The 12,112-nt window shown below is 44.1% G+C and overlaps 1 long non-coding RNA gene across 2 annotated transcripts; it reads left to right on the top strand.

The window, feature by feature from the left end:
- The first annotated feature begins 8,624 nt into the window (after positions 1 to 8,624).
- LINC02423 (long intergenic non-protein coding RNA 2423) lies at positions 8,625 to 11,550 on the top strand. Of its 2 annotated transcripts, NR_134998.1 has the most exons (3): positions 8,625 to 8,712; positions 10,237 to 10,330; positions 11,273 to 11,550. It is a non-coding gene; the product is annotated as a long intergenic non-protein coding RNA 2423 (long non-coding RNA). The 2 variants fall into 2 exon arrangements; NR_134999.1 differs by lacking the exon at positions 10,237 to 10,330.
- The last annotated feature ends 562 nt before the right edge of the window (positions 11,551 to 12,112 follow it).

Here is a 12,112-nt window from a genome sequence, read left to right as displayed (position 1 = left end):
GTGTGGGAATGGGTAGATAAGTACCCCAGTTTCTCAGTTCTCTAAGGAAATGCTTCTTAAGCATGGTTTCTCAGCAGAATTAAGCTCCAGTTGCCCACAGCAGCAACTGCTCAACACCACACCTTTGATTGGCTTATGCTTCCTAGAATCACCTCCCTAATGAATTCTTTGTGCCTAAGTCTTTGTTGCATAGTCTGCTTTGGGGGAAACTCACACTAAGGCAGGTCAGTAGCCACATTGCAAGAGTTTAAATCAGGACAAATACAAGAAACAGGTGCATTAACACAAGAATGGGAGTTGTTTTAAACTAGCCTTGCAAATAGCCCCTCATTCAACAACCCTGATCTGAGCAAGCAGGTAATCCAGTGATTACAATCACTGATTTCTCACTGGATAAGGGAAAGACTTAGAAGGCAGGTTCACATTAGCACTTCCAAGCATCACCACCATCACCAATCCACTTTAATACTTGTCCCCACAAAAAAAAGCTGACACTATCTCGGGAAATGGGCTAAGCTTGAGGAAGAGGATAAAGTTTGCCTGGTTTGGTTCACATCTCTGGAGACAGTGTCTGGGTGCAGCTGAGGTTGCTGCTATATATAACACACAAGCACAGCTAATAAAACTGATTGTAAAGCACTTTGCAGATCCAAAGTGCCACATAAATGCTAAATAAGAAAATTAATCTTAGCTACAAAGAACTCACGTTGTGAGATTGGAGTGATTTTTGAGGCTGCGCCAGGGGAAGGGGAGTGTGTGCCATCTCTTGTCTCTCACCCCTACTCTCTGCCCTCATTCTCCCCCCAACCAATATATGCACACACACTCCTGAGAAGTGTACCGATGCTCCCATATGCACCCCTGACACACGCCCCCCAACAAATATACCCCACATGCATACTCATTACCCTGCACATATATACATCCAAGGACATCTTTATAGCCATGCGTATATACCCACATGCACCCCAACACACACACACACACACATGCCAGCATGTATATCACACAGACGTATTCAGAGACATCTTCATAGTCATGCATATACACCCAGAGGCACACACATACATAGCCTCCCAGGTACATGACATCTTCTAAATATCCTCCTCAGATATGCTCTTATACATGTGGCCACAAATGCATCCCCTAAAAACCGCACACATACAAAACATTCTCTAACATACAACCCACCACACACAGTCTCACACATGCCTTTATACATGTTGCAGTATTTTGAATCATTGTTTGAAATTCCTGGCTGGCCACAGTGGCTCACAGCTGTAATCCCAGCACTTTGGGAGGCCGAGGCAGGTGGATCAACTGAGGTCAGGAGTTCAAGACCAGCCTGACCAACATGGTGAAACTCTGTCTCTACTAAAAATACAAAATTAGCTGGGCGTGGTGGCAGGCACCTGTAATCCCAGCTACTTGGGAGGCTGAGGCAGGAGAATCACTTGAACCCGTGAGGTGGAAGTTGCAGTTAGCCGAGCTTGCACCATCGCACTCTAGCCTGGGCAACAAGAGTGAAACTCCATCTTAAAAAAAAAAAAAGAAAGAAAAAAAGAAAGATATTATTCACACCCTCTTTGCATTAAAATCATATGTCCATGCCCATCATCACAAGATTCAAAATTGCCTCTCACTATGGCCCTACTTTACTTCCCCACCTACTGATGGTGGACTTGATCACATAAGTTGCTTTGGCCAACGAAACATTAGCAAATGGTTATCTAAGGAGGGTTTAAATATGTTTGTAAGCTTTGGGTTGTTCTCTTGGTCTCCAATAGTCTGCCAGGAATAGAGCATGCCTCTTCAGCCGGGACCCCAGGATGGACACAGAGCAGATCTAAACTTCATGTGCAGTGTGTACAGCAGCCCAGCTGGACTCACAGCCCAAGGTAGAGCCACCCAGATGAGCCCAATCTAGATTAACCACAAAATACAAACCCGGAGTGGTGAGACTAGACCAGGGATCAGAAAACTATAGCCTATGGGCCAAATCCAAACTATTCCTATTTTTGTAAATAACGGTTTAATAGAGCACAGCCATGCCCATCATTTATATATTGTCTACGGCTGCTTCCACTTTACAAGGGTAGAGTTGAATAGTTGCAATAGACACCGCGTGGTCAACAAAACCTAAAATTATGTCATCTGACCCTTTATGGAAAAAGTTGCCCAGGCTTGGAAGAAGTTTTCCAACCCCAGGATTGGTGCTAGTTGTTGTAAGACATTATTGGGGTGGCTTGTTACACTGCATGATTGTGGCAGTGGCTAATTCATATGTACAAATACAAACACTTCAGACACTTTCTCACGTGCCTATGTTTTTGTTTCCATGTACCTATAGGTGCACAAGTTTCATCTCATAAATTCACCCATAGATATCCTCAACAGACACATAGAGATACGCTACTTTTTTTTTTTTGAGATGGAGTCTTGCTCTATTGCCAGGCTGGAGTGCAGTGGTGCAATCTCAGCTCACTGAAACCTCCGCCTCCTGGGTTCAAGCAATTCTCCTGCCTCAGCCTCCCAAGTAGCTGGGACTACAGGCATGCACCACCATGCCCCGCTAATTTTTTGTGTTTTAGTAGAGACAGGGTTCCACCATGTTGGCCAAGATGGTCTCGATCTCCTGACCCCGTAATCTGCCTGCCTTGGCCACCCAAAGTGCTGGGATTACAGACGTGAGCCACGGCGCCCAGCCCTTGGAGATATACTTTCATGGTCTGTATACACATGGATCAACACACACAAACATACGTAAACATATACCTAAGATATTCCCACATAAAGTCACACATGCAATGTCCCTACAACCACTCACACGTTCATCCACATGCCACTCATGTGTTCATGCTACCTGCCTTCACTCATGCCTACATACTCCCACGCACAAAGGAACACATGGGGACAGGTGCAACCTTTTCGGTTCCACTTCAGTTCTTCTGCCCATCTGTGTAACGAAGCTTGAGCAATCCGATAAGCCTACTTTATTCCATAAAAATTACTTGGCCTGAGGGCGGGCATGGTGGCTCACGCCTATAATCACAGCACTTTGGGAGGCCGAGGCGGGTGGATTTTTTTTTTGAGGGGTCAGAGAGACTGCCTGTTCACAGACTGTTTTTACCTTCTGCCCCAACAACCCTCGATCCTCAGGTTTTCTTCCTCTGAGCACCTTTAGCTGGCTCTGTATGCTTCTTGGCTTCTCCTCATTGCTTTAAAAAATCCTGATGCTCAAACCACACTCCAGATAACAGTAGCTGGCACTTGGGAAAGACTCAATACATACTCATTGTTTTCTTCCTTGATTACCACAGGACATACTCTCTTGTCTCCTTTCCAAAAGCTGTAGAAGCAGAAGAGGTTTCTTCCCTGCAGGCTTTTCCAGCACCCTACCTCCACCCCTCCAAAACTCACTCCTCTAAAATTTTATTTATTGGCTTAAATAAAATATAGCTCCAGAGTCAGCCCTGTTTTTCAAGCACAAACAGGAAGCCAAATATCAAATTTTTCGTGGATGGAGAGCAGCCAGCTGAATCCAGATAGGAATATGGATGATCCTCACAAAAGGCTCTCGAAAGACCCTGAGAATTCGCAAGCTGGACAAGCAGGAATGCCCTGAGCTTTGATAAATCAGAGCAGCAGCCGTTACCTCTGCCTGGGCTGGGGAGGGAGGAATTTAGGGTCTTGATCACCTTTCACTCCAATGACCATGTTTCTACTTTGCAACGGAAGCCAGGTTGGAGGCCTGGTGTAGCATACACAGAGTTGGAATACTGGAGACCAGACCAGCAGGGCAGATAAGGGGTTGTGGGGTCACCCAGACCTAGGTTCAAATACCAGCACTACGAGGTTTTAGCTGAAACACTTTGGGTAAGTCATTTCACTTCTTCAAACCTCCAGTACTTCCTCATAAAAGCAGCATAATAAAATACTTCCCTTGTAGGGTTATGTTGAAGATTTTAAAAATGAAATATGTCATTATGTTTGTCACATAGCAAGTACTTGATAAGTGGCCCTAATTCCTCCCTACATGAGTGTCAACATTTATAGATGTTTTTGTTGTTAAGTATCTGGGGGACCTAGGCTTCTCTGTCACATGCATTATCCTATTTAATTTTTGTTCCTGTTTCCTTCTCTTTCGTTATGTAACATTTTAAAAACCACATGTTCATTCAGCTGTTTCTCATCAGCTTCGTTCTGTTCCCAAATAAACACATTCACATAAAATAAAACAAGTTTAATGAAAAGAGAATTTTTTTCTCAAAAAATTTTCTGATGATGAAATGCATGTAAATGATGAAGATGAATTCTATTTAATTTTTTGTGGAATATTTTTCACCAGAAAAGTGTTTGCTGAAGGAACAAGCTATACAGTCGATATAACCCTCTTTTCCTTATTATAATAATAAGTGTTTACCATGTCACACCACATTTAACCCCCATCACCTCCTGACCAAGTAGGTACCATTTGGGTCCCAGCTTTATTCTGTTTAATTATTTTATTGAACTATAACATGTTACTCAGAAAAGTGCACGTCATAAATTTACAGGTTGGTGACTTTTTGCAAGGCAAATATACCTGTATAACCAGTACTCACATCAGGGGTCCCCACACATTCCCCCCAAGGCCTAATAACTCTCCTGATTAGATTGATTTAGCCTGTCTTGAACTTTATATAAATGGGATCATATAGAATTGTGATAGACAGAATAATGACCCCTCAAAGATGTCCACATCCCAATCCCCAGAATCTCTGAACATGTCACCTTGTCTGGCAAAAGGACTTTGTAGATGTGATTAAGGACTGGGAGATGGGGAGACTATCCTGGATTTGGACCCGTGTTTTAACAATGTGGCCCAGATTGGTTAACTCTAAGGCCAATTGTCACGCACCAGTGATGAGGCTGGGATTTAAACCCAGACAGTATCTAAAATCTACATTTTTGACTACTGTTCCAGGTGAGGAAACTGAGGTTCTCTGAGACAAAGTGCTTTACCTAGGATCACCCAGGCCAAAGGGCAGAGTTGGGCTATGGCCTGGACCTCTGCCTCCTGACTGCATGGTCCATCACATCTGAGCTGACATGCCATGGGCACTTCCAGCCTAGATCCATGATGCTGGAAGCTTCTCCTGATGACAGACTCTTCCCAGTCTGCCACTGTTGTAACAGCTCCAGGACAACAGCTGTATGAGCCACTTACCAGGGAGGCTCAGTGGATGCGTGGGTGTCACTTGCTGTCCCCACCCCTTTAGGGGAAAGAAAATGCCACCAGACACCTGGTGATCTCTGAGGAAGGCTATGGTCTCTAGGTCCCTCCACACTGGATAGCACTGACCACCTGGAAGGAAATGTCAGGTGGACTTTTTGCATGGCACATTGACTGTGGGATAGCTTAACAGAGAGATGGAGCTGAACATCATGGCTGCCTGGGAAGGTTCTCCCTGGAGACAAAGGGATATCAACAGTTCCGTCTCTTCCAGAGGAGCAGTGAGCTGACCACAGGGCTGAATGCAAAGCCAGGATCCCTGAGACCAAACAGGATTCATAGACCATGTGGACTCAAAGGGATATTTTACGAAGTCCCTAATTCTCAAAATAAGGAAACTTATCGCCTAGAGTAATACTGGCCAGTCTTTATTACGTACCCACTAAGCACTAGGCACTATGCTAGGTGCTTCTGCATTGTTTTCTTTATAATCCTCACTAGTCTAGAGACATGGGCCATTATTAGGCCCCCTTTACTGAAGAAGAATGAACGTTGAGAAGACTTGCTCATGGCCACACAGCTGGAATTGGGAAACAGCACTTTCTGACTCCAGAGGTAGAGTGCATACCCACTACATTTCACACCCTCTAGAGAAGGAAAGTTTCTTGTCCCAGTTAAACTCCAAGCAATGACATCTAAGACCACAGTTCCAGCATTCTGACTCCAGATTTATCTTATATATCATGAAGTCTACTTTGCAACTAATAATAGACACAAATAGAGGATGAGTCACAGGCCCAGAATTAACAGTATAGTAGTTATAAACATGGAGGCAGAGGACAATTCATTGCCCATCAGGCTCATTTCCCCCTCTCTCTCGTCTCAGATGTAAAGTCTAATAGTCTAAGGAAGTTCCACTCCTTTGCCAGAGACTGGTCTGGGAAAAAGACATGGGACCTAGCTTCTGACCAGTGACTTCTGGGAAGTGTTTCCTTGCACTTAAAGCAACATAATTAAGAGCAGGCTTCTCATCTTCCCTGGATGTTGTATCTGCATATGACACCTGGAACCACAGCAGCCACTTTGTAACCTTGAGAGGAGCTGACCTGAGGGTAATTCCCATGAACTCAGAGATGGAAGGAATCCAAGTCAGATGACATCATTGAAATGTTGACTAACCACAGAACCAAATGACCTCCAGACTACCTGTTATGAACTTTATGAAAGTCTTTCTTAAATATATTGAATCATGGTTTTCTATTACTTGCAGCCAGAAGCCCCCTCTCTAATACAATGAACTTTAATTCTGGTGTTAGACTGCATGGATTCTAATCCTCATTCCATCAACAATTAGCCATGTGACCCTGGGCAAGTCTCTTGACCATTCTGACCTTGGTTTTCCTCTTCTGTAGAATATGGTAGGTGATAAAAATTCAAGACCAGTGGGAGGGTACAATAGGAGGATGAAAATCAAAGCACTTTGCAAATGGAAAAGCCTGAGGTATTACTGGATATTATTGTTGGTATTATAGATTCAGCAGGGCCAGAAGAAGCCTGAGGCATCCTGGGGGGCTCAGAGCCTGCCCTTGTTCCTGGGAATGGACTCTAGGAAGGGAGCAGCTGCAGCTGCTCAGATAAGAGCACATTTGCATTCTCCCAGCCTCCCTGCCCAGAGCTCTGCAGACTGAGCCAGACAAGCAGCCTTTCTTGGGGGCACAGGGCCAGCAGCATGCATCTGATAGAGGCAAGGAAGCTGAGATGGGGGCTGAGAGGGGGCTGCACCCCAGCCATGTAAGTCCACCAGGGAAGGTCATGCACTAGTAACTGTGTAATAGTTCAACTATCACTTCCCGACAGTCTACTAGGTGGCCAAATCCTTTGTTTTAAGCATCTCCTTCAACCCTGGCAACAACTCTATGAATAGAAGTAGCTTTATTCCTATTTTATGGATGAGAGACCCAATGTTCAGAGAGGTTAACAAACATGTCCAAGTTTACACAGTCAGGCGTGGAAGAGCCAGGTCTGTCTGACTCCAAAGCCGTGCTCTTAATCACTATGCTGTAGCCAAGAATATTAAATGCCCCTCAAGCAGCAAGGAAAGAAGAAAGCAAGAGCAGTCCTGGAAAGAGTGGGGCACTGTGTTTATTGACCTCCTTGCCTTCCTGGAGCTCACTGCCCAGCCTATGACTGAAGCATTCAGACTCCAACTCTCCCTGCATTTTGCTTTTAACATCCTGGCCTCTCTCAAAACTTTAATTTTCTTGTGTCAGCTCTCTTAAGAGTCCCTGAGGGAGACAATGCTGCTCTGAAAACGGCTCCAGAAAAGTGGAGAACATACTTTTCACGCAGGGTCTGGGGGCCCAACAGAGCAAGTAAAGAGGAGCATTTGGGATTGGACTGGTTATTCTCTGTTTGTGACACTCCCCCAACCAGATCCACTCTCTGCCATGCTCTGCACTGCCCCAGGTCCTAGCATGCTGGCCTGTATGGATGGTATCAACAGGCTCACTTTTCCTGTGGCTTCTCTGTGGATTTGACCAACAGGATGTCACCAGAAAAGATTAAAAAGCTAGAAGGAAGTTCTAAGTATTTCTCCCTCCAACCCTACCACCACTCCCCCAGCCTCAGTGCTGCAACTCCACCTGTGGTGAAGTCCTTCTTTTTTTTTTTTTTTTTTTTAACAGAGTCTTGCTCTGTCACCCAGGCTGGAGTGCAGTGGTGTGATCTTGGCTCACTGCAACCTCTTCCTCCCAAGTTCGAGATTCTCCTGCCTCAGCCTCCCAAGTAGCTGGGGCTACAGGTGTGGATCACCATGCCCACCTAATTTTTGTATTTTTAGTAGAGACGGGGTTTCACCGTGTTGGCCAGGCTGGTCTCAAACTCCTGACCTCAAGTGATCCGCCTGTCTCAGCTCCCAAAGTGCTGGGATTACAGGCATGAGCCACTGCTCCCAGACAGCTGTGGCTAAGTCCTTCTCGACTACAGCTCCTGCTGGTTCCCTCCCTGGTTCTACCTATCACCAAGTTCTGGTAGGCCCACTCCTCTCTGCATATTTAAGCCTAGGGGTGGTAACATTTCCCAACTATTGCTAGTCTCTTGGTGCCTCAACATCTCTCATTGGTTCTCCCAACCTTGCCTGCTCCTCTGTGAGTAGTACCTTCATTAAATTTTCTCTAAACTCCCATTTTTCTGTTTCCTCATAGGGCCCTGAGTATGAGGAGGTGGGACAGAGAGTGGGTGGCAGTTTGTAATATGTCCTCAAGGAGTTGGACTGTCTTGGCTCAGCTATTTGGGTATTAATAAATTTGCCAGTGGGAGGAACTTTAAGAAAATTGCAGTGATTGGTTCTACTCTGTGTGATGTCATCAGAGGAGGGTGGAGCTTTGTGGCTAGGGCAGTCCTCCACTTCCGGAGATCCAGGCTCCAGAAACAGAGGAATTTCAGGCTTCAGGATTTCAGAGGCCAAATTCCATCTGGCCTAGTCTGCCTGGCTCACGGTAAGCTTTAGAATGGTAAAGAATAGAAAGTCTATGGTGGCAAGATGGTATGTAGCTGTCACACACAATAGCACCCTCTTTTCGGTTATATGGCACTTTCAAATTTACAAGGCATTTTCTCATGAATTTGTACATCTGAGCCTCATAACAATCCTCTGAGACAGATTAAGGCTGTTTACTCCCATTTTACAGCTATGAAAATTAAAAATTAAAAATTAGAGAAGGGAAGGGACACATCTAAAAATCACATAGCACCAACGGGTCTCAACTTCCAGCCATGGTGATCCCAAGTCTGGGGCTCTTTTGAACACACTTCAGATTTCTAGCTGATGAAATATCTGCTTCAGTGGCTGCAAGATCACTAGTCAACCCTAAGAAGGCTGTCCTTCCCTCAAACTCAAAAAATAAATAAATGAATAAAAACTAGCATTTGTTCATTGAAAATCTATTAAGTACAACACATTGGGCAAAATACTTTATATACACTTTATCCCTTTTAATCCTCAATAATGATGTGAGGTAGTTATAATTATCCCATTTTAATGAAAAGGAAGCTGAGGCTCAGAGAGGTGAAGTGATTTTCCCAAAGTCACAAAGATATAAGTGATAGACTTGGGATTTGAAATAAGTCCATCTTATGCCTCCTGTGCTCAACCATTGCACCAAACCTCCTCCTAAAAGAAAGCATTGTTGTGATGGATGAAAGCCATGTCCTTCTCCTCTGCCAATGCCTGGAGCTATGTTTGCAAATGGAGTGAGCTGCATGTTGAAACCTAATTATTCTGCAAGCAGCACCCATAACAAGGCAACCCCTCTCCTGGCAGCTTGTCTTCAATTCTTTGCTCCCACACAATATTGCCAGAGGCTCAGGGGGGATGAGAGTCAAGTTTCCATAGACGGAATGGATGAAACCTCACTCATCTGTAGCATTTCATACTTTTGGATGTGTTTGAACATCCATTGGGTCACTTCATCCTTGCAGTAAACCTGTTGAGCACATAGGACAAATATTTCCACACCCCGTCTTTCTCTAGAGAAAATGAAGGGTACAAAGAAGCGAAGAGACCTTGTCCAAGGTCACACAGCTGGTATAGGTAAAGCCAGGATTCCAACCTACCTAGATTGTGCTCCAAATCTTTTGCTCACTCTACTACCCTGTGCTTGTCATCTTGAAATAAGAATCTGAGAGGTAATGTGACTTTCCCAAGGTCACACAGCAAGACATCCTTACCAGAATTAGACTCAACCGACATACCTTGTGTATCCTAGCCACCCCCACCCTTCCACATTGTCTCCTCTTTACCTCCTTCTTCATTCCTAGAAATTCTCCCCTCTTGATTTCCCACCTCAAGTTCTCCCTCTAGAGGTAGTTCAAACTAAGAGATGTCTCTCACCCCATGACCTCCTTGAGAAGAAACACAGAAAGAGAAGGGGAGGGAAGCCATTGCAGGCAATACTTGTGTGAGTTGGTGATGGCAATGTTTCTCAAACTCTTGTCAGCATCTGCCTGCTCTCTGCCTGCAGGAAGGAGGTGGAACAGCTGTGCGCACATCTGCCAGAGGAGCTCTTTAAAGAGCAGAGAGGATGCTATTTTCCTACCAGCAGTAGCAGCAGCAGGGCAAGTGCTTGAGGCTCATTTTGGGTTGATTCTCTCTCTGACTAAAGGTTCATGTCTTCAGAACAGCTGTGCACACAGAGTGGAGTAAGGCTGTCAAGCAAGGAGACCTCTGAAGCAATCTCAAAAGCCCCCTGGTCAAATTCATGTGAACTGACTATTCACAGAGGTTGCTTACAAACAGAATATAATAACTAAGACTAATTGTGTATGCCAGATGTATAACTTAGAACAGCTATCAGCTATCATGTGTATATGTGTATACTTACTAAATATATATATATCTACTGTATATAAAATACAGATATCTACTGTAGATTATAATATATATATATATACACATATATATATATCAAAAAAACTCTACATCATGGCTACTATTATTATCATCCCCATGTCTCAGAGGGGAAAGCTGGGGCAGAGTTAAGTTAAATACCTTGCCAAAGGTTACACAGCTTCATTGTGGTGGAGCCAGAATTAAAGCCCAGAAAGTCGAGTTACAGAGTCAATGTCCTTTATCTCTGCGCTATATTTACTCTGAGTGATTCTAAAAATGTAGTGCATATAAGAATTACCCTGACACTGTTTAAAATTCAGATTCTTGAGCTCCTGCCCTCTAAATTCAGGAGGGATGGGCTAGAGAGCTCAGGGATATGCATTTTAATAAGTTCCCTTGCTTGGCTCTTGTACCTATGGTTGATAGACCACTCTTTGAGAAAGAATTACCAAGAAATGTGTTCATTCACATATTTTATAAGGTAAGAACTGTATGTCAGGACCTGGGATAGGCATAGCAGATAAGAGGAAAGGTAATTATGATGCCAGCTGTAACTTTCTGAATGCTAACCATGTCCTAGGAACCTTGCTAAATGTCTTGCATTCATTAATGTTTAATTATCACCACAACCCCATAAGGCAGGTGATATTATGACCTCTTCATTACAGATAAGAAAACCGAAGTTCACCAAAGTAAAGTGACTTGTCCAAGACCTCACAGCTATCAAGTAGAGAAACTGGGATTTGGATGCAGGTCTGTCTGACTCCAGACACCGCGATCTTAACCATCGAGGCAGAGTTTCTACCTTTTAGGAATTTCCAAATAGAGGAGACAACCTCAGGACTTGAACAATGCAGAAACACAGTCAAAAATACAAAGAGCTAGGGAGTGATGCCTATATTGTGCTGTGAGGGTTAATATCGCTTCCTGTCAAAGGACAATCTAAGGGAGGTGATATTTGTTAATATACAAGGTTTTTTTTAAAAGAAGGGGTCAGCTTTGAACACAGTAGTGATCGCAACTGGGGAGAAGAGCAACCAGGAAGAGGATATATCATAAGCAAAAGCACTGGTGTGGGAAAGAATAGGGATTTGGTGGGAAGTGTGAACGATACCACTGGTTGGTGTGAAAATACAGGCAAACCCGAATAGCTCATGTCCTCTCAAATGTTTGTTCAGAAGCCACCATCTCAGTGATGCCTAAGCTGACAATCCCATTTACAGATGCATCAAAATTTGCCCTCCTTGTTCCTCTTTTCTGCTCTATTTTTTCTCCAAAGAACTTTTCACCTCTAATAGACAATGTACCTTCCCTGCCCATCCCCTGCCCCCCAATTCTTAAATATCTCCACCCACTAGAACATAAGCTTTAAGAAGGCAGGAATTTTTGTCAGCTTCACTCCTTGAATTGCCAGGGTGTATCACAGGACCTTGAGTGTGTTGAGGGGTGATAGGTGCTCAATAAATATCTATCAAAATTTGAATGTAGAGCCAGGCATGGTGGCTAAT

This window comes from Homo sapiens, chromosome 12 (genome assembly GCF_000001405.40).
Source record: "Homo sapiens chromosome 12, GRCh38.p14 Primary Assembly".
In the NCBI taxonomy this organism is placed as follows: Eukaryota; Metazoa; Chordata; class Mammalia; order Primates; family Hominidae; genus Homo; species Homo sapiens.
The sequence above is the reverse complement of the archived record's forward strand: the minus strand, read 5'-3'. Positions and strand labels throughout refer to the sequence as shown.